At 47.4% G+C, this 26,140-nt stretch overlaps 2 protein-coding genes and 1 long non-coding RNA gene across 7 annotated transcripts in view, besides 7 other annotated features; 2 read left to right on the plus strand and 1 right to left on the minus strand.

The window, feature by feature from the left end:
- XYLB (xylulokinase) overlaps window positions 1-16,768 on the plus strand; it is a 106,257-nt gene extending 89,489 nt beyond the window's left edge. For both annotated transcript variants that reach the window (XM_011534327.3, XM_011534329.3), the window contains one exon: window positions 16,496-16,768. In XM_011534327.3, the coding sequence (XP_011532629.1) occupies window positions 16,496-16,565 (70 nt within the window). In that variant the 3' untranslated portion in view covers window positions 16,566-16,768. The remainder of the gene's footprint in view (window positions 1-16,495) is intronic.
- On the minus strand, window positions 14,754-18,547 carry ACVR2B-AS1 (ACVR2B antisense RNA 1). The gene is made up of 2 exons (NR_028389.1): window positions 18,230-18,547; window positions 14,754-16,952 (listed from the first exon to the last, which is right to left on the minus strand). It is a non-coding gene; the product is annotated as an ACVR2B antisense RNA 1 (long non-coding RNA).
- Window positions 17,199-17,698: an enhancer, noted in NCBI's record as "H3K4me1 hESC enhancer chr3:38494963-38495462 (GRCh37/hg19 assembly coordinates)". NCBI's record gives its function as "activates a minimal SCP1, AML or CMV promoter by ChIP-STARR-seq in primed H9 embryonic stem cells {active_cell/tissue: H9 hESC(primed)}" and the evidence as "EXISTENCE:reporter gene assay evidence [ECO:0000049][PMID:30033119]".
- Window positions 17,417-17,466: a silencer, noted in NCBI's record as "silent region_14210". NCBI's record gives its function as "represses an Ori minimal core promoter by ATAC-STARR-seq in GM12878 lymphoblastoid cells {active_cell/tissue: GM12878}" and the evidence as "EXISTENCE:reporter gene assay evidence [ECO:0000049][PMID:35858748]".
- Window positions 17,477-17,596: a silencer, noted in NCBI's record as "silent region_14211". NCBI's record gives its function as "represses an Ori minimal core promoter by ATAC-STARR-seq in GM12878 lymphoblastoid cells {active_cell/tissue: GM12878}" and the evidence as "EXISTENCE:reporter gene assay evidence [ECO:0000049][PMID:35858748]".
- ACVR2B (activin A receptor type 2B) overlaps window positions 17,617-26,140 on the plus strand; it is a 39,253-nt gene continuing 30,729 nt past the window's right edge. Inside the window, exon 1 of one of the 4 annotated variants that reach the window (NM_001106.4) lies at window positions 17,617-18,101. In NM_001106.4, coding sequence (NP_001097.2) covers window positions 18,050-18,101 — 52 coding nt within the window. In that variant the 5' untranslated portion in view covers window positions 17,617-18,049. The other 3 variants (XM_017007515.3, XM_005265583.4, XM_017007514.2) reach the window with 3 other exon arrangements.
- Window positions 18,017-18,296: a silencer, noted in NCBI's record as "silent region_14212". NCBI's record gives its function as "represses an Ori minimal core promoter by ATAC-STARR-seq in GM12878 lymphoblastoid cells {active_cell/tissue: GM12878}" and the evidence as "EXISTENCE:reporter gene assay evidence [ECO:0000049][PMID:35858748]".
- Window positions 18,303-18,886: an enhancer, noted in NCBI's record as "NANOG-H3K27ac-H3K4me1 hESC enhancer chr3:38496067-38496650 (GRCh37/hg19 assembly coordinates)". NCBI's record gives its function as "activates a minimal SCP1, AML or CMV promoter by ChIP-STARR-seq in primed H9 embryonic stem cells {active_cell/tissue: H9 hESC(primed)}" and the evidence as "EXISTENCE:reporter gene assay evidence [ECO:0000049][PMID:30033119]".
- Window positions 18,887-19,471: an enhancer, noted in NCBI's record as "H3K27ac hESC enhancer chr3:38496651-38497235 (GRCh37/hg19 assembly coordinates)". NCBI's record gives its function as "activates a minimal SCP1, AML or CMV promoter by ChIP-STARR-seq in primed H9 embryonic stem cells {active_cell/tissue: H9 hESC(primed)}" and the evidence as "EXISTENCE:reporter gene assay evidence [ECO:0000049][PMID:30033119]".
- Window positions 19,107-19,286: a silencer, noted in NCBI's record as "silent region_14213". NCBI's record gives its function as "represses an Ori minimal core promoter by ATAC-STARR-seq in GM12878 lymphoblastoid cells {active_cell/tissue: GM12878}" and the evidence as "EXISTENCE:reporter gene assay evidence [ECO:0000049][PMID:35858748]".

Consider the following 26,140-nt stretch of genomic DNA (forward strand, 5'->3'; position numbering starts at 1 on the left):
TCAGGGACTACTATGAACAATTATACATAGACAAACTGGAAAAAACAGAAGAAATGGAAAAATTTCTGGACACATACAACCTACCAAGTTTGAACCAAGAAGAAATAGAAAACGCAAACAGACCAATAACAAGTAACAAGATTGAAACAGTAATAAAAATCTTCTTAACAAAGAAAAACCCTTTACTGGATAGAGTTACAGCTGAATTCTACCAAATGTAAAAGAACTAATACCAACCCTCCTAAAAACTATTCTGAAAAATCAAAGAAGAGAGAATTCTCCCTAACTCATTCTATGAGGCCAGCATCACCCTGATACCAAAACCAGAAAAGGCCACAGCAAAAAAGAAAACTACAGGGCAGTATATCTGATGAACATTAATACAACATTCCTCAACAAAATACTAGCAAACCAAATCCAACAGCACATCAAAAAGATAACACACCTGGGCTGGGTGTGGTGGCTCACACCTGTAATCCCAGCACTTTGGGAGGCCAAGGCAGGCAGATCACCTGAGGTCAGGAGTTCAAGACCAGCCTGGTCAACATGGTGAAAACCCATCTCTACTAAAAATACAAAAATTAGCCAGGTGTGATGGTGGGCGCCTGTAATCCCAGCTACTTGGGAGGCTGAGGCAGAAGAATTGCATGAAATCAGGAGATGGAGGTTGCAGTGAGCTGAGATCACACCACTGCACTCCAGCCTGGGCGACAGAGTGAGACTCCTTCTAAAAATAATAATAATAATAATAATAATAATAATAATAATAATAACAAAAACCAAAAAAAACCCCACCATAATCAAGTGGGATTTATAAAAGGGGTGCAAGGATGGTTCAATATATGTAAATCAGTAAACATGATACACCATATCAACAGAATGAAGGACAAAAACTGTATGATGAATTCAATAGAAGTAGAAAAAGCATTTGATAAAATTCAACATCCCTTCATGATAGTCTCAAGAAATTAGGCAATGAAGGAACATACCTCAAATTAACAAAGGGCATATACAACAAATCCACAGCTAACATCATACTGCATGGAGAAAAGTGGAAAGCCTTTCCTCTAAGAACTGGAACAAGACAAGTCACTTTTACCACTCCTATTCAACATAGTACTGGAAGTCCTAGCCAGAGCAATCAGGCAAGAGAAAGAAAGAAAAGGCATCCATATTGCAAAAGAGAAACTCAAATTTTGCTGTTTGTTGATGATATGATATATGATCCTATATCCAGAAAAACCTAAAGACTCTACTAAAAAACTCTTAGATTTGATGAATGAATTCACTAAAGTTACAGGATATAAAAAAATTGATGTACAAAAACCAGTCGTGTTGCTATACATGAATAATGATCTAGCTGAGAAATAAATCAAGAAGGCAATCCCAGCCAGGTGTAGTGGCTCATGCCTGTAATCCCAGCACTTTAGGAGGCTTTGGCAGTAGGATCACTTAAGGCCAGGAGTCCAAGACCAGCCTGGGCAACATAGTGAGACCCTGTATAAAAATAAAAATAGGCCGGGTGCAGTGGCTCATGCCTGTAATCCTAGCACTTTCGGAGGCTAAGGCAGGTGGATCACGAGGTCAGGAGATAGAGACCACCCTGGCCAACATGGTGAAACCCCATCTCTACTAAAAATACAAAAATTAGCCGGGTGTGGTGGTGTGCACCTGTAGTCCCAGCTACTCAGGAGGCTGAGGCAGGAGAATTGCTTGAACCCAGGAGGCAGAGGTTGCAGTGAGCCGAGATCCAGCCCAGTGACAGAGCAAGATTCTGTCTCAAAAAAATAAAAAATAAAATATAACATTAGCCAGGTGTGGTGGCATGCACCTGTAGTCCCAGCTACTCAGAGGCTGAGGCAGAAGGATTGCTTGAACACAGGAATTCAAGGCTACAGTGAGTTGATTGCACCACTCCACTTTGGCCTAGGTGACAGAGCAAGACCCTGTCTCCATTTTTTTTTTAAAGGCAATCCCATTTACAAAAGCTACAAAAAATAAAATAAAATACCCAGGAACACATTTAACCAAGGAAGTGAAAGACCTGTACATGGAAAATTACAAGAAACCAATGAAAGAAATTGAAGAAGACACAAAGGAAAAACATCCCATGCTCTTGAAACAGAAGAATTAATATTACTGAAATTACCATATTGCCCAAAGCAATCTACAGGTTCAACATAATATCTATCAAAATACTAACATCATTGTTCACAGAATTAGAAAAAACAATCTTAAAATTCATAAGGAACCAAAAAGAGCCTGAATAGCCATAGTGTTTCCGGAGTTGGTTCCTTCCTGTGGGTTCTTGGTCTTGCTGACTTTAAGAATGAAGCTGCGGACCTTTGTGGTGAGTGTTACAGCTCATAAAGCTGGCATGGACCCAAAGAGTGAGCAGCAGCAAGATTTATTGTGAAGAGCAAAAGAACAAAGCTTCCACAGCGTGGAAGGAAACCCGAGTGGGTTGCTGCTGCTGGCTGGGGTGGCCAGCTTTTATTCCCTTATTTGTCCCTGCCCCTGTCCTGCTGATTGGTCCATTTTACAGAGCACTGATTGGTCCATTTTACAGTGTGCTGATTGGTCCAATTTACAGAGCACTGATTGGTCCATTTTACAAACCTCTAGCTAGCCACAGAGAGCTGATTGGTGCGTTTTTACAGAGTGCTGGTTGGTGCATTTTACAAACCTCTAGGTAGCCACAGAGCACTGATTGCTGCATTTTACAATCCTAGCTACAGAGTGCTGATTGGTACATTTTACAATCCTCTTGTAAGACAGAAAATTTCTTCAAGTCCCCACCCAACCCAGAAGTCCAACTGGCTTCACCTCTCAATCTCCCCTCTAAACAGGACACCCCAGCTGCTGTTGGAAATTGGGCGATGACCATTCTAGCTACTTCCTGCTGGATAGGGGCGAAGAAGGGCCCTGCAGTGGTAGTGTCCTCCAGAGGGGAACTCTAGGCCAGCCAAAGGGTCAGTGGGTTGGTCCAGGGGTCCTCAGTAGAAGTTGTTAATTGAGCTCATTTGGGATTCCATTTGTAAGGCCATCTGTAGCTTGACAGCCTCGATCCTACAGGAACCAAATTTGACAAGGATGTTAAAAATACAAGGCCCAAAGGCAAGTAATAGCAAGATGGCTGCACAGGACCTAGAAAGGGGAGAAGCCACGTCACCCAACTCCAGAGGTTGGTATAAGAGTTTGAAAGGCGGCCAGACGCAGTGGCTCACGCCTGTAATCCCAGCACTTTGGGAGGCCGAGGCAGGCAGATCACAAGGTCAGGAGATCGAGACCAACCTGGCTAACATGGTGAAACCCTGTCTCTACTAAAAATACAAAAAATTAGCCAGGCACAGTGGTGGGCACCTGTAGTCCCAGCTACTCGGGAGGCTGAGGCAGGAGAATGGTGTGAACCCAGGAGGTGGAGCTTGCAGTGAGCCGAGATAGCGCCACTGCACTCTGGCCTGGGTGAAACAGTGAGACTCCGTCTCAAAAAAAAAAAAAAAGTTTGAAAGGCATTGTCTGATTTGAGAAACCTTTTCCTGTAAACGCTGGGCGGCATCTCGTACTATCGCTGACCGGTTAGTGTAAAAGCAACAGTCTTCCCCTAAGAAGGTGCAGAGTCCTCCTTTCTCAGCAGTGAGGAGGTCTAGGCCTCAGAGGTTTTGGAGAGTCACTGCTACCAAAGAGTCTATCTGGGATTGTAGAGTAAGGATAGATTTTGTTATTTCTTGTAAACTGTCTGAGAAATCCTTTGAGAGTGTGTGGTAGTAGGATAGTAAAGTAGATAAACTGGCGATTCTGGTTCCTGTAGCAGTGGCCATTCCTAACCCTATAAGTAAGGTTATTAGTTGTATGGCCCTGCACTGACAGACTTCAGCTTTGAGGGGCACTAATATGGTCTGATTTCCTCAAGATTAGAAGTTAGGATAATACATGTTACACTGTTAACTTTTAGCAAGCTTTACTTTTGTCAAAAACCTTGTAAGTTTGGGATTTCAATTATTCTTTGCTATTAATAAGACCTCGTTCAGTCCATATTAACTTAGAATTGGTATAGATGGCTCCTTTCTGATGCTGTAAGTACTTTAAGGTTTGGCTGAGTGCAAACAGCTCACACGTTTGAGCAGACCAATTATTAAGCAACTTTCCTAACTCTGCTTCTACAAGAGTTTCCTTATCACTTACTGAATACCCATTGTGTCTTTTTCCCTTAATAGCTTTGGAGGAACCATCTATCATCCTGTCCCAAAGGGGGTTCCTCCTAGGTCTGTTCAGATCTTTGTGTGGTAATTAATTAAGCTTTAGATCTCCTGTCAGGAAACCTGCTGGGTTAAGGATTTTTGATAAGAAGGCTATAGATTGTCAGTGGCCTCAGTGCTTTTGGGCTACGCTCTTGGTTACACTGACAACAAGGTGGTATTGGAGTGTTACAGGGTTACAGAGAAGACCTTCAATTATCAATTATAGGTTTTAAATTTACCCTGGTTTTTAAAGGAATAGGGTACACACTTTTTTCTTTACTACTTCTATCTCTCTCTCTTTCTCTCTCTTTCCTTCTCTGTCTCTTTCTCTCTGACTTTCTGTCTTTGTCTCTTCCTCTCTCTCTCTCTCACTCCCTTTTTGTCTCTCTGTCTCTTCCCCTCCCTCTTTCCTTCTCTCTTTGACTTTGTCTTTCCCCTCTCTCTTTCCTTCTCTGACTTTCCGTCTTTCCCCCTCTCTCTCTCTTTCCTCTTTCTTTCTCTCTTTGACTTTCTGCTGGTCTTTCCCTGCCTCTACCAGCCGCTTATGCTGCTATTCTCCCCTATCCTTCCTCATGGCTTTGGCAGTGTAAGACTGCCACCTCCTTGGGTTTTTGCACTGTAATAACGCCATGATTTCCTTGTGATATTTAATGGGGGTTCCCCCAGAGGTTAGGAACTCCCTTTCTTTCCATATTGCAGCATGGGCATGTAGGATTAGATAAGCATACTTGCTATCTATATACACATTTATTCTTTTTCCCTTTCCCAGTTCTAAGGCTCACGTAAGTGCCACTAGTTCTACTAACTGATCGCTGGTCCCTGGGGGAAGAGGCTTACTTTCAAGTACTGTTACATCACTAACTATGGCATAACCTGCCCTTTGTATCTTATTAGCCACAAATGAACTTCCAGCAGTATGTAAGTTAAGGTCAGGATTAGCTAAGGGGACTTCTAAGAGATCCTCTCAGGCAACATAAATCTGGACTATAATTTGTTGGCAGTCATGCTTGATTGGTTCTCCATCCTCTGGGAGAAAAGTAGCAGGGTTGAGGGCTGCACACATGCATATTTGAAGCACCAGTCCCTCAAGGAGTAGCTCCTGGTATCTAAGCCGGTGGTTGTCTGATAGCCATAAACTTCCTGTGGCACCTAGTATGCCATTTACACCATGAGTAGTCCAGACAGTGAGATTCTTTTCTTGTATTATTTTGATAGCCTCTGATACTAAGATGGCCATTGCCGCAACTACCCATAAACAGTGAGGCCAGCTTCTTGCTACTACATCAATTTCCTTACTTAGGTATGCCACTAGTTGTAGGGTTGTCCCACGAGTCTGAGTAAGGACTCCAAGAGCTAATCCTGCTCTCTCTGTGATATATAAAGAGAGGTTTTGTCCTGTGGGAAGGCTTAAGGCTGGAGCTTGTACTAGGGCCTGCTTTAAGGTTTTGAAGGCTGTTTCTGCTTCTGGTTCCCATTCTACTAGATGAGTATTTGCCCTCTGGGTCTCCGTGATTAGAGTATAGAGTGGTCTGGCCATCTCGCTCTATCTGGGGATCCATAGTCAGCAAAACCCAGTGATTCCAAGGAACCCCTGCAATTGTTTTAATGTCTTAGGGCAAGGACAAGCCAGTATAGGCTGTATTCATTCCTTGCTGAGGGCCCTGGTTCCTCTGGCTAAGACTAGGCCTAGCTATTTGACTTGTTGTAGGCAGAGTTGGGCCTTCGATTTAAATGCTTTGTACCCTTGATTAGCTAGAAAGTTTAAGAGACCTAGAGTAGCCTGCTGGCATGAGGCTTCTGAACTGGTAGCCAAAAGTAAATCATCCACATGCTAAAGGACCAGAGTGCCTGGACTTGAGAAGTGGCCTAGAACTTGGGCCAGTGCCTGACCAAACAGATGAGGGCTATCCCTAAACCCTTGGGGCAAGACCGTCCACATAAGTTGGGATGTGTGGTCTGTGGGATCCTCAAAGGCAAAGAGAAACTGGGAGTCACAGTGCAGGGGAATACAGAAGGCATCCTTGAGGTCCAGAACCATGAACCATTCTGCTTCCTCTGGTATTTGAGAGAGCAGGATATAGGGGTTGGGTACAACTGGATATAGAGGAATTACTGCCTTATTAATGCGTCTAAGATCTTGCAGTAGTCTCCACTGACTGTTCTGTTTTTCTACTCCTAGAATTGGGGTGTTGCAGGGACTGCTGCATTTTTTTTTTTTTTTTTTTTTTTTACTAAGACTTGAGCTTTTAAATGTCTAACAATATCCTGTAATCCTTTATGAACTTCAGGCCTTAAGGGATATTGCGTTTGATAGGGAAAAGTGGTGGGGTCTTTTAGCCTGATTTGGATTGGGCGGGCATTTTTGCCCTTCTGCATTGTCCTTCCAATGCCCAGACTTCAGTGTTGATTCCCTCCTTAAGCAGGGGACAACAAAAGGGTAACTTGTTCCCCATATTCACGTAGATAATAGCTCCAGCTTTGGCTAATATGTCCCTCCCTAATAAGGATATGGGACTTTCAGGCATAACAAGAAAGGCATGTGAAAAGAGCAAAGTCTCCCAATTACAATTGAGGAGGTGGGAGAAATACCTGGTTACAGGCTGTCCCAGGATTCCTCAGATGGTAATGGACTTTGAGGACAGCCGACCAGGGCAGGAGATTAACACTGAGAGGGCCGCACCAGTATCCAAGAGGAAGTCAATTTCCTGTCCCTCAATAGTTAAATGTACCTGGGGCTCAGTGAGGGTGATGACATAAGCCGGTGCTTGTTCCAGGCACCCTCAGTCCTGTTGTTGGATCGGCTGGTTGGGGGATTCTGGCCTAGAGAACATTTGTCCTCTGGGGCAGTGTGCCTTCCAGTGATTGCCTCGGCATAGTGGACATGGGCGAGGGGGAAGCTTGTTTCTCACTGGACAATCTTTTTTAAAGTGTCCTTGCAAACCACACTGATAACAAGCCCTACCAGCTGATTGGCCTGCTCTATTTTCTGTCCTCTCTGAACCACCAGGGTTTGTTTGTCTGAGGGCCATGACTAAGGCTGTGCCCTTTCTCTGATTTCACTTTTTCTTCTCAGCCTGTTCCTCTTGGTCCCTTTTATAGAACACTGAGGTTGCCATGTTTAATAATGCCTCCAGATTTTGTTCAGGGCCTAGGGCTTTCTTTTGGAGCTTTCTCCTGATATCTGTGACTGATTGGGAAATAAACTTATCTTTTAGGATAAATTGACCCTCGAGGGAGTCAGGTGACAGGGGAGTGTATTTTCTTAAGGCCTCCTGTAGATGCTCAAGGAAGACAGAAGGATTTTCTTCCTTTCCTTGAGTTATGGTGGACATCATTGAATAATTCATGGGCTTTTTCCTAATTCTCCTTAGTCCTTCTAGAACACAGGTCAACAGATGTTTGCGACACCAGTCCCCATGATCTGAGTCTAGGTCCCAGTGGGGATCCATACTGGGGATGGCTTGCTGACCGGTAGGGAATTTGTCCCTTTCTTCAGCTGTCATTCTATCATTTACTTGACTAAAATACCAGGTATCTCCAAACTCTCGGGTTGCAGCTAAAGCCACATTCTTTTCATTAAAGGCCAGGGTTTGATCTCATAGCATGACATCTCTCCAAGTGGGGTCAAAGGTTTGCCCTAGACCCTGTAGGACATCTATATACCTATCAAGATCATCTGAAAACTTCCCCAGGTCTACCTTAATCTGCTTTAAATCAGAGAGGGAGAAGGGGACATGTACCTGGATTGGGCCAAATTCCCCTCCCCCTACAGTTTGAATGGGACATAACTGATAGCCTGGGGGTTTTTGTGGTCCTTTGGAGATTTCTTTGCTTGTTTCCTTCTGGGCAGAGAAGATTAGAGGAGGCTTATCATTAATAGGAAGGGGAGCTATAGGGAGGCTAGGATAATGGGGGTAAGCTGAGAGGTCCTCCTGTGGAATGAAAATTGCAAGCTTTGCATAGTTGTGGATTCTCCTTCAATGAAAAGAAAGCTTGGACATAAGGTATTTCACTCCATTTGCCTTCCCTCTTACAGAAAAGGTCAAGCTGCAGGATAGTATTGTAATTTACACTCCCCTCAGGTGGCCATTTTTCCCCATCAGAGAGAGAATATTGGGGCCAGGCCATAGTGCAGAAAAAAATGAGTCACCTCTTTATCAGGGTTTGCGGGTCAAATTGGTCCCAGTGGCTTAGGATGCATTTCAAGGATGAGCCTGTTGATGCCTGAGTGTTTCCCATCTGAAAGAAAAAACCGCCCATGGTTTTGGTTTGTTTCTGCCCATGCCCCCCCACCCCTGGCCTGCCCAAGAATCTGCAATGGTCCCTGGACCCTGCTGATCAGAATAGTTGTACTCACTGATGCAGTAGCAGAAACACTAGTTTTCCTCCTAAACCACAAGGAGGACTGAGGAAGGTCGGATTTAGTGGCCCTTACCGACACATTCTTGAAAACCTGCACCCTTGCCTTCCCTCTTAGACCGCAAAGAGGACCAAGAAAAATCAGGTTTAGTGGCCCTTAACAACACATTCTTGAAAACCTATTAGAGTCCTAAGCATTTTCTCCTGTTAGTATTGGGACCTTACCCCTTTCCTATAAAGATGATATTCCCCAAAAATGGAGTGGAGGGCCATACCCTGAGGGAGGGAAGAGATCTCCAGGGTTGGAAGAGTAATGCCTTTTGTCCTTACTTCTCATCATATGGATAGGAAGGATATAATTTCTGAAGCTCCCCATATAGCCTTTGTTAGGCCTGCTTGTCTGAGGAGGGATCCTAAAAGGATAGTTGAACTCCCCCACGCGACGGGGCTTTGGGCAAAAATTATGTCTAATTGGTGAGCCTGGGTGCCTAAAGAAGGGAACAGAGTCATGAAATTTATACTAGACATCATTCTTATAGGAGAAACTAGAAAAGCACCAGAAACAGGGAGTGCTTTCTAAAAGCGGGACTAGTCTCGGAGAAGAGAGGCAGGAGGAAGTTTGTCTGACAGGCATTAGGACCCAGGAGGCAAGGGTCAGGATAGATAGGATAGATGGGCAAGTGTTGCTTGGGCAATGTAACTTTGAGAGTTCCACTCATGGCTACATGGTCAACCAACATTTTGTTGGGACCTTGGAGCTGAATGGCTTTCCTTTCTGTCAACCCTTGGGTCAGCCCAGATGTACAGGAAAAGTGGAAGCTGGTTCCAGGTAAACCAACGCTCCCAACTCCGAAGAGTCAGGGTTTGTTAGAGAGCCCTTTCCCAGAAAGCCTGACACCCATGTCTTTAGTCCGGTGGCCACGCTAGTCACTTTTAACTGGCTGACAGGTGCCTGGTGTTTAGTCCCTGAATCCTAAGGAAAAATAGGACAGAATAGCTAGCGAAAGGGGTCCAATGGTACTCACTGCTTGACGATAGTCCCTTCTTGGTCACCAAGAAGTGTCTGGAATTGGTTCCTTCTGGTGGATTCTTGGTCTTGCTGACCTCAAGAATGAAGTCGTGGACCTTTGTGGTGAGTGTTACAGCTCTTAAAGGTGCCACGGACCCAAAGATTGAGCAGCAGCAAGATTTATTGTGAAGAGTGAAAGAACAAAGCTTCCACAGCATGGAAGGAGACCCAAGTGGGTTGCTGCTGCTGGCTGGGGTGGCCAGCTTTTATTCCCATATTGGTCCCCACCTATGTCCTGTTGATTGGTCCATTTTACAGTGTGCTGATTGCCAGATTAGAGTGCTGATTGGTCCATTTTACAAACGTCTAGCTAGCCACAGAGAGCTGATTGGTGCATTTTTACAGAGTGCTGATTGGCACATTTTACAGACTTCTAGGTAACCACAGAATGCTGATTGGTGCATTTTAAAATCCTAGCTATAGAGCACTGATTGGTACATTTTACAATCCTCTTGTAAGACAGAAAAGTTCTCCAAGTCCCCACCCCATCCAGAGTCCAGCTGGTTTCACCTCTCAGTAGCAACCCTGAGTGAAAAGAACAAAGCTGGAGGCATCACATTACCTTACTTCAAAATATATTACAGGGATGTATTAACAAAAATAGCATGGTACTGGTATAAAAATAGACACATAGACCAATGGAACAGAATAGAGAACCCAGAAATAAAGCCACATATTTATAGCCAACGAATCTTTAACAAAGCTGACAAGAACTTATATTGGGGAATGGAAACCCTCTTCAATAAATAGTGCTGGGAAAATTGGGTAGTCACATGCAGAAGAATGAAACCAGACCCCTATCTCTCACCATATACAAAAACCAAATCAAAATGGACTAAAGACTTAAATTCAAAATTTGAAACTATGAAAATACCAGAAGAAAACCTAGGGAAAACTCTCCTGGACATTGGTCTAGGCAAAGAATTTATGACTAAGACCTCAAAAGCACAGGCCATAAACACAAAAATAGACAAATGGGACTCTATTAAACTAAAAGGCTTCTGCAAAGCAAAAGAAACAATCAACAGAGTAAAGAAACAACCTGTTGAATGGGAGAAAATATTTGCTAAGTATTAATCCAACAGGGGACTAATATCCAGAATATACAAGGAACTCAAACAACTGAACAGGAACAAAATCCCAAATAATCCCATTAAAAAGTAGACAAAGGACATGCATAGACATTTTGAAAAGAAGACATATAAATGGATAACAGCATATGAAAAAATGCTCAATGTCACTTATCATCAGAGAAATACAAATCAAAGCCACCATATAATTATCTTATCCCAGCTGGAATGGCTACTATTATAAAGACAAAAAATAACAATGTTGACGAGGATGCAGAGAAAATGGAACTCTTTTTTATTTTATTTTTGGAGACAAGGTCTCACTCTGTTGCCCAGGTTGGAGTGCAGTGTCACGATCATGGCTCAGTGGAGCCTTCACCTCCTGGGCTCAAGTGATCCTCCCACTTCAGCCTCCTGAAGAGCCGAGACCACAGGCATGCACCACCACATCTGGCTAATTTTTTTTTTTTTTTTTTTTTTTTGTAGATACAAGCAGGGTCTCCCTATGTTGGTCCAGGATGGTCTCAAACTCCTGAACTCCAGCAATCCTCCCTCCTCGGCCTCCCATAATGCTGGGATTACAGGCATGTGTCACCACATCTGGCCGAAAAGGGAACTCTTATACACTGTTGGTGGGAATGTAAACTAGCACAGTTATTATGGAAAACAACCGTATAGAGAGTTCTCTAAAAACTAAAAACAGAATTACTATGTGATCCTGCAATCCCAGTATTGGATAGCTACCCAAAGGAAAAGGAATCAATATATTAAAGGAATACCTCCATTCTTGTTTATTATTGCACTATTCTTAAAAGAGAAGATATAGAATCAACCTAAGCATTCATCAACGGATGAACAGATAAAGAAAATGTAGTATATATACACAATGAAATACTATTCGGCCATTAAAAAGAATGAAATTGGCCAGGCATGGTGGCTCATGACTGTAATCCTAACACTTGGAGAAACTGAGGAGGAAGGATTGCTTGAGCCCAAGAGTTTGAGACCAGCCTGGGCAACATAGTGAGACCTTGTCTCATAAATTTTAATTAAAAAAAAAAGAAACCCTGTCATTGGCAGCATCGTGGATGGATCTGGATATATCTTAAGTGAACTAAGCCAGGCACAACAAGACAAATATATATTCTCACTTATATGTGGAAACTAAAATATTTTATTTTATGGCAGTAGAGAGATAGATAACAGAGACTGGGAGGGGTGAGTAGGGAGCTGGGGTGGGTGGGTGAAGAGAACTGGGTTAAAGGGTACAAACATACAGATAGAATAAACTCAATGTCTGATAGCTGAGTAGGGTGACTATATTTAAGAATAATGTATTGATCTTGGGTGATGGATACCTAAATGCCATTACTTGAACAATACACATTATATACATGCAACAAAATTTCTCATGTCCTCCATGAATTTGTACAAAAATACCTGTAAAAATCAAATTAAACTAAAATCCTTGACTGATAATCCCATTATCTCTGTCACTTCTGTATCTGTTCCTATTGAATGATTTTTCTGCTTCTTTTGGGTCACATTTTCCTGCTTCTTCCTATGCTTAGTAATTCTTTTATTAGATGTGGGCATTTAAAATATTTTTTTACTGAGTGTCAGATTGATAGAATTTCTTTAAAAAGTGATGGTTCCTCTGGTGGGTAGTTAAATTAACTTATAGATCAAGTTGATCATGTCAAGGCTTGTTCCTTTAGCTTAGTATTGAGGTTTACAATAGCCTTTATTATCTAGGGCTGGTTTAGCTCCACTATGGAGTGACTCTCTGGGTCTCTACTGAATGTTCTGAGTTTTCCATGAAGACTCCAATTTTGCTGGGTGGAGCTAAACATTTCCCCATCCTGTGTGAATTCTTGGAGGTTCTCAGGTATGTCATATACCCTGTTGTATCCTGCTCCCTCTTGCGCAGAGGCTCGCCCACACAGCTTTTGTTGCTATTAGTAGTTTGTCTCTATTTGCTTGTATTTTGATGTTTTGAGGGAAATCCTGTCACCTGGTTTTTCAGTGAGTGCACTTGGATGGTCTGGTTTTTTCCATACAGTTGCTCTGTGTTTTTCATTTTTATTTATTTATTTATTTTAATTAATTAATTATTGCTATTTTGTGAGACATTCAAGTCTTGCTCTGTTGCCAGGCTGGAGTGCAGTGGCATGATTTTGGCTCACTGCAACCTCCACCTCCTGGGTTCAAGTGATTCTCCCACCTCAGCCTACTGAGTAGCTGGGACTACAGGTATGTGCCACCATGCCCAGCTAATTTTTGTATTTTTAGTAGAGACAGGGTTTCACCGTGTTGGCCAGAATGGTCTCGATCTCTTGACCTCGTGATCCACCTGCCTTGGCCTCCCAAAGTGCTCAGATTACAGGCGTGAGCCACCATGCCCAGCCTTATTTTTATTTATTTTTAACAAACGGGGGTCTCACTATGTTGTCCAGGCTAGTCTTGAACTCCTGGGCTCAAGTGATGCTCCTGCCTCAGCCTCCTGATGTGCTGGGATTACAGGCATAAGCCATCACACCCAGCTTACTCTGTGTTTTCATGTGAAGATTTTGAAAGATTCAAAAACAATGCAGCCAACAACCTAACCATCATCTTCCCAGTCTGGTAGAAGTTTTAAGGGCCAGCATTTACCATGCTCTCTTTCCCTTGTCTCTCCAATAGTAGAAGCATGTATCAAAAGGTAGCCCTCTTAGTCTGTGTCCCTGAGTTATTACAATGAGTAGAGCTTGTTTGTTGACCTCCAATGGATATGTATCACGAGAAAGATATAAATTTTGTTATTTTAAGCCATTAAGGTTTTGGGATTTTTCCATTAGCACAGCATAATCTAATCTCTCTTGAGAGATAGTGTTAGCTTTCTACCCAAGCCAATTCATTTTTTTGACCTCAAGTAACCACCATTAAGTTAAGAGAAAGGGGCGGGGAAAGTACGAGGTCTAGGAAGAAAATAAATAAGGCAAAGAAATAAAGCACTTTGAGAACTGTGTCTAGGAAATAACAGATAGCTTATTAAGTCTTGGGGGAACTGTATTACCAAAGAAAGTATACACTGCCCACCCCTCCCCCAACAATTATACACTGTGAATGGTACTCTCATAAAATTGTTTAATTTCGTATTGCTATGCCTAAATTACCCACTACAGTGAATGTCTAACCAGGGCCTCTCAGAAACTGAGAGAGGGTGAGGCCACTTATATTTTCTCAAATGAAGAAATTCCCAAATAACATTATAAAAACTGTGGTTACTTTCAAAGTTTATCTTGCTAAATGAATGTATTTAATCCCTTAATAGAATTCATTATAATTATATAGATGCCAAGTCTTATTACAATGCTATAGTTTTCCATCTTCTTCCATAGCTTGATACTAAAGAATGTCATGTTCAACTGATTCTTCTCAATTCCTTGGTTTCTGGTCTTGATTGTTGAAGGGTGGGGAAGCCAGGGAATAGTGGTCCTAACACACTGAATGCCTTAATGGCAGAATTCACTGCCATAAATTCTACAGCAGACATTTGGGGTTTCAGATTTTTTTTGCCTTTCAGTTTTTGGTCACCCGATGTCTGATACCAAATGTGATATTTAGCAATCTTGTAGTCGTTCAAAAGAACAGAAAACCCAAATAGAACTCGTTTTTCAAATATCCATTATCACCTTTCTCAACCAGCCTAGTATTTGCTTGATGAGCTCATGATCAAAATGATGGCAGGGAATCACTTTGGTTACTATATGGAAGATTTATTTAAGGCAAGAATGAATTCAGAGGACCAGTTAAGCTCCCTTCTGGTTCACTGCTATTGCAACAGTCCAGATATAAGACAATGTTGCAGTAGTGTACATGGAAAAAAGTAGTCGGATGGTGGATACACTTTTGAGGCTATTTTGCTGATGGACTGTATATGGGAGGAATCAAGTATTGTTACCGAAACACCAGGGGTTTGGTCTAGGTCCTGCTGCTCGGTGCACAGAAAGCCAATCACTGAGATGACAAGTATTGCCAAGGAAGAAGGCTTTAATCAGGTGCTGCAGCCAAGGAGATGGGAGTGCAGTCTCAAATCCATCTCCTTGACTGACCAAAACCAAGGGTTTATATAGCAGGAAAGAAATGTAACAATATGTAAGAAAACAGGAACATGGGAGGGGCAAGGAAGCAATCATGGTGACTGAGGGGCCCAGCATCTAGTGCAGTGATCTGGTTTCAGTTCTTTTGATACTTTTTATGGCTTCAGTTCTTTGATACTTTTTGTGAGAGGCCTGAAGGTCCTTTCCTGAGGAAGGAACTCGGATAAAACAAGTAAGTTTCCAGCTTTAACTGCAAAAGGGTCAACTTCTATAATCCCAGCACTTTGGGAGGCTGAGGCAGGCAGGTCACCTGAAGTTGGGAGTTCAAGACCAGCCTGGCCAACATGATGAAACCCTGTATCTACTAAAAATACAAAACTTAGCTGGGCATGGTGGCGTGCCTGTAATTCCAGCTACTTGGGAGGCTGCGGCAGGAGAATCACTTGAACTCAGGAGGTGGAGGTCGCAGTGAGCCGAGATCGTGCCACTGCACTCCAGTGAGGGCAATAAGAGCCAAACTCTGTCTCAAAAACAAAAACAAAAACAAAAACAAAAACAACTGTCTATGGGACTCTTTGGCTGGTTTCAGTAGGACTCATAAGGTTCTGATTTGAGCAATGGTGTAGTTGCTTATGCCATTGATTCAGACAGGGAAAACTGGGGAGGAGATTTACGGGGAAAATGAGGACTTCTGCTTTGGCTAGGTCAAATTTGAGATGCCTGATAGGCTACCAACTGCAGTTGTCAAGTAAGCAGTTGGATATAAATTTGGGGTTCCCAGACAGGTCAGAGTGGAAGACACAGATATTTGGGCAGCTTGGACCACTCTGAGTCCTTATTATGATACCTGACCTGGTATGGAGTAGAAGAGAGGAACCAGCCAATCTAATTTTTGGCACATGGATAAAAGTCGATACCTTTCAGTCCATATTGGAATGGAGATAACGATTTATACTCCCTAGAAAAGACACTTAAACTGGATATGGAATTACTTCCGTTATCACAGTCTATCACTGTGGCCTCCTGTGTTATTACCAGATACCTTATACACAGCTAGGGTGTCCCATACAACACTGCTTCTTGCTTGGCACACAGTCGCATAGTATTCAATCCTGTGTTAAATGGCTTAGATAATAAGTCACCTGTAGGGATTATAGCAAGCAGGGACCATCATTTTCACATAGAATTTCCCAGGACTGGAAGGGACTTTTAAAGACCCAGAAATCTTTCTGGGCAGTGCCTCCAAAGTGTGGCCCCTGAGGTGTTCCTGCTGCTCTGGTGACCGGGGGTAGTTGACCCTATTTCAATGTCAATCAGAACAATATACATTCCTTTATAAACTTGTTTTTTTTTTGAGAGAGAGTCTCACTCTGTCACCTAGGATGGAGTGCAGTGGTGCAATCTCAGCTCACTGCAACCTCCGCCTCCCTCCTGTGTTCAAGCGATTCTCCTGCCTCAGCCTCCTACCGAGTAGTTGGAATTACAGGTGTGTGTCACCATGCCCAGCTAATTTTTGTATTATTTAGTAGAGACAGGTTTTTGCCATGTTGGTCAGGCTGGTCTCGAACTCCTGACCTCAAGAGCCTCCTGGGCCTCTAAAAGTGCTGGAATTACAGGTTTGAGCCACCTCGCCCTGCCTATAGTGAACATTTACATAATATTTTGTTTGACTAGGTTTCTGCCATTAAGAAGATGCAAAACCCTGAGGGAGTGTACCTCTTCACTTTGCATATGGGAAAACTGAGGCTCAGAGAAGTGAAATGACTGAGACCTCCAGGTGCCACCTCCCTTTCAGCTGCTCCTGCCCTGCTCCAAGCAAGGATGTGCCAAGTCAAGAGAAGACAGAGGACAATTAATGTTATCTGAGGATCTCGGAGCCTCATCCCTGAGCTATGATGGTCTTTCCCTCCTTAGTTGGGAGCCCCATCACGTTCCTCCGAAGCTCTAGTTGTGTGATAAGGAGGGTGGAATCTGAGACAGAGAACGATGGCCCTCCAAGGAGGGAGTTCGGGGTGAGGAAAACAGCAAAACCATGTGCTAGACAAGATCTTCAACTGCAGGGCTCTGGAGGCAACTGGGAAGTTTTGAAAGTGCAGATTGAAGCTCAGGGCCGCTGTGGGTGGCGCAGGAACTGCAGAAGACAAGATAGGATTAGGGAGGGCCAGCAGGTTGCCAGAGGCCCTTTTCCACCTGCTGGGCTTAGAGGGGCGGGACTCTGCCCGCTCCCTCACTTGGTTGGGTTTAAATGACCACTCCCCGCCCTAGCTGTGCCTTTGAGTGTGTGGCAAGGGATTGCAGACGGGAGACTGCTTGTCAATTCAGGGAAGTCAGCCTCTTTCTGCCACTTAATTCGCCCATCAGTAGAGATCCGACTTTCCCACGGTTCACTGTCACCCCCATTGCACAGGTGGGGAATCCAAGGCACAGAGGCGTCTGGGCCAGAGTCCCGGGACTATCCACTCATTCCGGGGTTGTAGGGCAGCATGTGTCAGGAGCTTGGGCTCGAGCGTGCGGGGCACTAATTGCGAGTGCAGTGGCCACAGGCTCCCGGGCAAAGTGGTCAGGAGCCCATTCCCGCCACCTCCGTCCGCGCGCCCCGCCCTGTCCTCCAGCAAGTTGGTGCACGCGCGTCCTCCCACAGGGCGCGGGATGGGGGCGGGGCCTCCGTGTTGTTGTTTCTCTGGGGCCCCGCCCCTCAGGGGGGCGCGGACCACGCGGCCGGAGGGCCCGCCTCCCCTCCCCCTCCCCGCCCAGCCCGCCCGCCTCTTTGTATCCAACATCCGGGTTTCCCCGCTGGCTCGGCTCCGTGGCCGCCGCTCAGGAGCCATTTTGGACTCGGTTCAGCTCCCCTCCCCCCCACCCCTCCCCCCGTTCATGGCCCCTCCGGACTCGGCCCCTGCGCCCGGGGCCCGGGCCCAGCCCCGCCGCGCTATGCCTGAGTCGGGCGCGCCCCGGCCCGTGCCCCGCCGCCGCCCCCCGGCCCCCGCGTCGCCCCGGAGCCCGGGCCGCAGCCTGCGCCGCCCGCAGCGGCCCTGAGCCCGGCCCCGCCGACCGGCCCTTGGAGCCCGAACGCTGCTCGGGGACGAAGGCGCAGGAAGCGCGCAGGGAACGAGACCGAAGGAAGGAGCGGGAAGGAGAGCGCAGCCGCCGCCTGGCCCTGCGCGCCCCGGGAGCGCCGTGCGGCCCTGCCCGCGGGCTCCGGGTGTGCGCGGGGCGGCGCCGCGGAACATGACGGCGCCCTGGGTGGCCCTCGCCCTCCTCTGGGGATCGCTGTGCGCCGGTAAGAACTGGGCGCGGCGCGGGGACGCCGAGAGGGCGCGCGGGGCTGGCCTCTGGCGCCGCGCGGTGTTTACCAACAAAGGGCGGGCCCGGGGCCTCGTCGCCGCACCACCTGTATTCAGCCCTCACCTCCGGGGGCGTGGGCTGGGGGCGCGGTGGGCGCCCGGCTCGCCGAACTTGGGGGCACGATCTTGTCTGTGCAGTCATCTGCGGGATTCTGGTTCCTAGAGGCGCCCCTGCGATGGGGGCCGGGACGCGGAGCCTCAGGGTCGGAGTTCGGGCTACGCGGGCGCGTGGAACCCAGGGAAAGAGTGAGGAAAACCTGAGCGTGGGGAAGGCGGCCAAGAGGGGTGGGCAGATCTCATTGGGGGTGGCAGGATTGTAGGTGCAGCAGCAGCAGCAGCATGCGGGGAGGGTTGCATGTCCCTCAGAGTCACTAAGTGTAGCGAAGCGAAGGGGGCGGCTTCACGCAGCCCAAAGTCCCCTGCATCTCTTGCCACCAGTCTGCGTCGCGTTACCGGCCCGGCGGGCTGTTGGTGCTGGCTCCCACCTGCTCCCTCTTTCCCTGCCGTTGGCCCCGGGATGCGGAGTGTGGTCGCTTCGCGGGACCGCTTTGTTTGGGCACTTGGGAGGGGAGGGGGTGGGTAAGATGGAAAACCCAACAGGTCCCTCTTCCTTCGGGCCTCCAGGAGGCACGTGGCGGGGTGGGTGACCAGCGCTCAGCTCGCCCGCGGCTGCGGGCGTGTGGCTGGAGGTGTTCGGCCAGCGCATGTGTGTTTGGGGGTATGTGGGCGCGGGCGTAAACAAGCGGAGTTCCGCCTGGAAAGCTTGTTTCTCCTACGGTCCAAGCACCGATTTCCCTCTCTCAGTGGTGCCGGGGTGCGCCTAACCCCGGCGGGCGCGCCGGGACGTCCCCTGGCCAGTCCTGGGAAACGTGGGGAGCTGGGCATTGAAGCTCTGGCGAGAAGGTCGGGGCGGCTGGTACCCGGCCGCCGGGTCCTGCGCGTCTTTGTTCCCAGCCCCCATTACACATGCAGCGCGGGTCCCCCGCCGCCCTCGGTGGCAGCCGCCTGGAGTCTGGGAAACCCTCGAGGGGCGGGGCCGGGCGTGCAGGGGCGGGGCCGGAGTCCCCACGCTGCTGCGGGGGTGGGGATTTGGGATCTGCGTCCCATTCCCACCCTGGTTCTACCTTCTCCTGTGCGTCGTCGTGAGGCTTAGTTTACACCGAAAGCGAGTGAGTTCTGTAGGGTAGTAGCGCGCGCGCGCGCAGCCTGAGTCCGGAAACCGAAGGGCAAAGACCAGCTGGCACCTGAGTACCGTATGGAAGAGGGCGTTGCAGCTCTCCTGGAGCCGCTTCTTGGAGGCGAAGTGGTGGTCGTGTTGGACTTTCTGCTCTTTTTTGCCCCGCTCCCTTGGGATGCCTTTTCCCCAAGAAGGAGTGCTCGAAAGTGAAAGGGGAGGCATTGGTCTGCTAGAGGGAGGGCGGCAGCAAGCTGACTTGATAGGCAGACCGCAGCCCACCTGACTGCCTCCAGACCCGCTGGGTGCCTGATCCCTGGAAGTGCTGGGGCTCTTCCAAGCCCAGGCCTTTAGGAGAGCTTCCTCCCAAGACAGGACAGCTTGAGACCTGGGATCTGGGGATCACACCAGTCTCACACCTCCCTCCTTAGGCAGGGCAGGGCGGCATCAGACCCCTGGAAGGACTGTATGTCCTTTCTTTTTCCTCTGCTTCAGTCACCTAGCTTGGGCAGTGCTGAGCAGTGTACCCTGCCAGGGGGCAGTCAGAGTCACACTATAAGGACCTGTATTCCTGCCCTGGGAGGAAGGTGGGGGTCACTGGGTATTTCTTGTAGTCACATCAACCAGTCCCTGACCTGTGGAGAACTGTGAAAAGAGCTGCCCCAGGCCCAGTTTGGAGCAGACCTGACCGTCCTGTTGCTTTGGCTTCAGGGATGCCCTTTAATTTCAAGCTCCTGGCTTGCTGTTTGGAATAACCCCCATACTGTGCAGCACACAATGCCTGCTAGAAGGAACATCTAGAAGAGTGCTGTGTGACAGAAATAGTGTATGAACTATGGATAGATATAAAACAACGTTTTCTAGTAGTCGTGTTAATAAAAGGAAGAAGAAACAGCTGTGTCTTAGCTGGGGCTGCCATAACAAAATACTGTAGACTGGTGGCTTAAACAGCAGAAATTTATATTGTCAAAGTTCTGGAAGCTCTAAGTCTGAGCCCAGGGTGCAGGGTGCTGGCATGGTTGGGTTCTGGTGAGGACCCTCTTCCTGGCTTGCAGATATCTGCCTTCTTACTGCATTCTCAAATGACAGGGGTGGGGTGGGGCAAGGGGGTGTTTTCCTCTTTTTGTAAGACTGTGAATCCTGTTCTCATTACCTGATGGCCCCACCCTCATGACTTAATCTAACCCTCACTACCTCCCAAAGGTCCCGTCTCCAAATACCATTACACTGGGGGTCAGAACTTCATTGTATGAATTTTGGGGGGACACATTCTTTCCATGAGATGGAATGAACTTCAATAGTATATTTTACTGGCCTGGCACAGTGGCTCATGCCAGTAATCCCAGCACTTTGGGAGGCTGAGGTGGGAGGATCACGAGGTCAAGAGATCGAGACCATCCTGGCCAACGTGGTGAAATGCGTCTCTACTAAAAATACAAAAATTAGCTGGGTGTGGTGGCACACGCCTGTAGTCCCAGCTGCGCCAGAGGCTGAGGCAGGGGAATGGCATGAACCCGGGAGGTAGAGGTTGCAGTGAGCCGAGATCATGTCACTGCACTGCAGCCTGGTGACAGAGTGAGGCTCCGTCTCAAAAAAAAAGTATATTTCACTGAATTTGATATATACAAAGTAATTTCAGCCTGAGATCAGTATTAAAACGAGACATTTTGCATTCCATTTTTGTACTGTCATCAAAATCCAGTGTGTGCCTTACAGAACATCCTCAACTCTAACTTTCCACATTTCCAGTGCTCTGCAGAACATTTGGTTAGTGGCTACCATATTAGACAATGGAATCTCAGAAGGGAAGGTAGAATTTATGGTGTAATAAATGTCACATGGTGCTTGTCACAAGATCAGTCAGTGGTTAGTTGGTTCTTTAATAATTCTTCAAGTCTTTTGTGGTCTGTGCTTGGCCGAGTGTCCTTGGGAAACAAGCCATTTGGCTCTTGCATTTCAGTGGACATCCTGGACACTCAATGCTGTATCCTACAAGAACTCCTGACACCTGTCTCTGTACTCTGTACTTGGGGTTCAGATCAAAGGGCTTATGGGGGTGGGGTAAACAGTATTCTAAGTGAAGTGACCAGAGCTCTTGGAGAGGGACCTGCCTCCTGTCTATCCCATCAGGAAGTGCAGGCCCTGATTACTCTGATAGGCTGACCCAAAGAAGTTTCTTGGCCACTTCCTTGGGGGAGGGCGGAGGGAGTGAGCTCATGAAGTGAAGTGACTTTCATCCCTCAGGCCTAGTGTAGCGGTAGCTGCCAAGGACATGGGCTACAGAGCCATGGGCCGTGGGTGCCCCTCCCAGAGAAGAGTGTTTTCTGCTACCTGTCCTTGTATCTGCTGGGCACTCGAGGCTCTGCCCTGTCTGGGTGGGCTGCCTTTTGGGAGGAATGGGTATCCTCCCTAGCTCTTAGGGGCCCTTTCAAGGCAGATGATGTGAGAAACCTGCCCATCTTTCCAGGCCCTATAGCTGGGTAAAAACATAAGATCTAAACCCTATGGCCTCCCATCACTTGGGTGGGCCTCTACTGTGTACTACTCTGTGGGTCTTTCTGGGCATCAAGAATCTCCAGAAGCACCTGGACCTCTGCTGGCACTTCACCTAAGGAACTCCTGTTATAAGGAGCCAATGAAGAGCCCACATTCTATACAGTGGTCCTCCATGTCATAGACCCCTCTGAGAATCTGATGAAAGCTGTGGACCCTTCCTCCAGGAAAATGTAAATCGGTATATGTGTGCATGTGTGTGTACATTGTATGCACCCACTCTGTTTTGTACAGATACTGGGAACCTACTGCCCCCTGATTAGACTCCTTGAAGTCCTGGCTGCCCTGCACATATCCACTGTAGTAGTCTTAAGGGGCAGCTTGTTCTGCGGGGGAGGGGTGCTTTTTCCACCTTGGTACCTCACTTACTTTGCCTTTTGTGATCCTGCCGGATGTTCAGATTCTAGCCCTGGTCTCTCTTTCCAGAAAGCTGTCCTCTTGAGTGCCAGCCTATGCATTCAGCCCCTCTGCTTGGGAGCTCAGGGTAGTGCAAATGAGAACCAAGGAGTATCGGTTCAGGAGTTTAGATCCACTCACGGATACTGACCTGTCACCATGGATTGGGATCTGGAGGGTTGAGGACTGGGTCTGGATAATATTTTTGCTAGTGACTGTAGATAGACTCTAGATAGTCCTGAGGCAGGGTCCTGGTTGCATGGGCCTCACTGTAGAACAGGGTTTCTCAACCTTGACACTATTACATTTTGGGCCTGATGATACTCTGTTGTGTATGGGTAGTGGTGGGTTGAGCTGTTCTGTGCATTGTAGGATATTTAGCAGTATCCCCGCCTCTACCCACAAATTCCAGTAGATCCTCTTTAATCATGTCAACCAAAAATGTTTCCAGATCTTGCTAAATGTCCCTGGCAGAGGTGAGAGCAAAATCATCTCAGATTGGGAACCACTGATCTAGAATGTTCTCACGCTTTCAAAGAGGTCTACAGTTGTAAGAAGTAGGGGTAACGGCTTTTGAGTGCATATCCATCCCCCCACTCTGGATGCAGGGTTGGAGGTGAGGTTCTCCTCAAAGCCTAGGAGATTCCTGCTTAGTGAAATCTGCTCAGCACGTGAGAGTTTGGTTCAAAATTAGTGGTTCTGGTGTACAGCTTACCACCGAGGAGAATCCTGGCGTCCTTGAGTTTTCCCAGAAGTGGTTCAGGTTTCAGGGAGGCGGAGGCTGTGGGTGGCTGGGCAGCCTGCCTGCCCGCACCCGCCCACTCGCCTCTGACCGTTGCCTTAAGGCTGGCACTCAGCCTCTTCCTCCCGTACACGCAGAAATGCCAGGAAGTGCCTGTTGCTGGGGACTCTCTGCCTGCCCAGCAGCCCCTCTCTGCTCACCTGGGGGCCTCAGGAGCTAAGGCTAGCCCTGTCTGCCAAGCGGAGCACTGGGGTTGTAGCAGGCCGTGGGCATGCCCCTTCCCCTGAGTGGACCTGCCATGTGGCGCTCCGGGGAGCCGCAGAGGCTGTGGGCCTGGAGCCCCCAGGCCGGGGACACCAGGGCAGGTGGGCAGCCTCTCCCCAAAGGTATGGGTGCAAGTCTCTCCCTCAGGGTGTGGTGGCCAGATGGGAATCTGAGGGCAGGGCCAGGCTTCCTGCTGTGGACCTGGGGAGGTGTGGGCAGCGCTGCCTTAGACAGGCAGCCGACACTGGAGGCCCTGGTGGAGCGGTTGGTATCTGTGGAGGCTTGTCTATTGGGCTTGGCAGGCTGGCAGCCCCCTGTGGCTGCCCCCATGTTTATTTTCTACTCCTCCCCTGGCCTGCTTCAAGCTTGGCTAGGGAACGCTTCTGTGGGACTCTGTCTGTCTCATCTTGAACTCAGTGAGACACAGTTTGCTGCACTGGGAAGTGATTACAAACTGGACTCTTAGGGTGGAGGAAGCATTTTTCAAAGACCCAGTTTCCAAGTGCTCCACATCACTGGTATGTGAAGTGCTTGCTGAGGTTCAGACTTCCTAGTTCCATCTGTTTTTGGGGTCTTTACAAAGGGGACTTTATTTCCTTCTCAGAATTCTTTCTCTTCCTTCCCTCCGGTTCTATCACTAATTCTGTGTTCCAAAACAGACACCCACCCCCTTGTTCTGGGCTTTCTTTTTTGGTCTCTCATTCTCTACCAGACTTACGGGTCCATCCCAGCCCTAGAGGTGCCTATTCCTTGTGGTCCTGGGGGTACTGCTACTGAATGCCCAGGTTTTCTGGTGGTGGAAATGCTGCTGCCTTCTTCTGACTCTATTACATTGCTCAGTGATGTCTCTGACTAAGGCAGTGGTAGGTACTGGAAATCAATGGATAAAGCAGGCTGGGATTGTTCAAGGGTCAGCCATGTCTCTTCCCGGCCCAGGACCAATAATGGCTTCCCGCCTTCGGACAGCCCCATGCTTTCCCCTGGTTATTCTAGGCTTGCTGTACACATGCATGTGCCTTTTTCAGATTCTTTCTGGGACTGGCAGCTCCAACTGGGTGTTTTCATTCATGGACGCATGACCTCTGGAAGCGGGTGTGGAAAGGAAGCCTGTCCCACTGGGCAAATGTGAGGCCCTCTTCCCAGGGGAATGTTGTCTGGATGGGTCTGACCTGCTGGACAATGGGCCTTCTCCCTGGCCAGTTTCTGGGCTGGAGCTGAGGTGTTTTGTGAGGCGAGCTCATGCTCTTTGCATGTGTTCCTCTGCCGACTATTTCAGTTCCACTCTGACAACCAAGGAGGCTAAAATTAGTTCTGGAGAAGGAAAAGGAAGGCTGGTTGGAAACCCAAGCCCTTGGCTGGAGAATGGAGGAGGCTGCTTCCCAGGTTTGTGCCTGAGCATTTCGGAGGATGGGATGAGACCAGCTGTTATCCGTCCATCTGAGGAGAAGGAGGGGTCCCTGTGGCCTCCCAGACTTGAACCAATTAAAACAGGAGACTAACTTGGAAGCTGACTCTCTCGAGTGTTGATGCCAGGATATTTTTTCCTTCTGGCTTGTGCAGTGGCGCACAGTGTTTTCAGGTATGAGGACAATGCCTTTTAATGAATGTCCAGTGCCATTGACAACCCTCCTCCCCCTCCCCTCCAACTGGATTATGTGTCCGTTGATTTAGAAAGCATGCATGAGTTTTCCCAGCCTGGGCTGGCAACCATGGTTTAAGAACTCTTATTTTATGCACTTTTTGGGAATTTCCTTCTCACTGAGGTTTGATATTGGGTTAGAGGGGAGTCCTGTGGCCCAGGGCTCACACAAGAGGTCCCGCTTCTCTGTGTAGTGAGGGCATAGTGAATCAAGGCTCATCTGCTCTGGGCCTTAGAAACCAGAGGAGCAGAAGGGTTAGAGAGATGAATTCTGGTTTCTTTTCCCACCTGGCTGGCTCCTTCTGTGAACCTTCTGGCTGAGGGTGAGACCTACAGGGCTGTGTGGGAGTAGAAGGAGGGCCAGGGCAATGTAGTCCTATCTCCCCTGCCCTGAAACCTCGCATCCAAACCTCCCATCACTGAGAGGTTAGCCACCCTGGGGTATAGTTGGGGGAGTAGAAGTCACTTCCCCCATAACTAATTTTCCCATTTAAAAAAAATTTATTACTTTTTAAACAAGTAATATACCTACATTATATTGCAGAAATTTAGATGTTACAGATAATACTAGGGTCTCCTTTTATCACTTCTGTTCCCCATCCGAGGCCCCCTCCAAAGGTAATCCTTTTAAGATTGAGATGTATTCTTCCAGACATTTTTACTTGTGCATCTATAGAAATACTTATAGAAATAGAGAGGCTTTTGGCCGGGCGTGGTGGCTCATGCCTGTAATCCCAGCACTTTGGGAGGCCAAGGTGGGCGGATCACCTGAGGTCAGGAGTTCAAGACCAGCCTGACCAACATGGAGAAACCCCGTCTCTACTAAAAATACAAAAAATTAGCCCGGCGTGGTGGTGGGTCCCTGTAGTCCCAGCTACTCAAGAGGCTGAGGCAGGAGAATGGCGTGAACCCGGGAGGCGGAGCTTGCAGTGAGCCAAGATAGCACCACTGCACTCCAGCCTGGGCAACAGAGCGAGACTCCATCTCAAAATAAATAAATAAATAAACAAACAAATAAATAAATAAATAAATAGGCTTTTTTCCACCTAAAATGGTATTCAAGCATTTAATTGAAGTATAAAACATATACAGAAGAATGTACAAGTAATTACCATAAGTAACAGCTAAGAAGCATTTTCACAAATTGAATACACTGGTTTAGTCAGCATCCAAGTCAAGAATCAGAAATTTTCCAGCCCCCCATCCC

This window comes from Homo sapiens, chromosome 3 (genome assembly GCF_000001405.40).
Source record: "Homo sapiens chromosome 3, GRCh38.p14 Primary Assembly".
NCBI classification, from domain to species: Eukaryota; Metazoa; Chordata; class Mammalia; order Primates; family Hominidae; genus Homo; species Homo sapiens.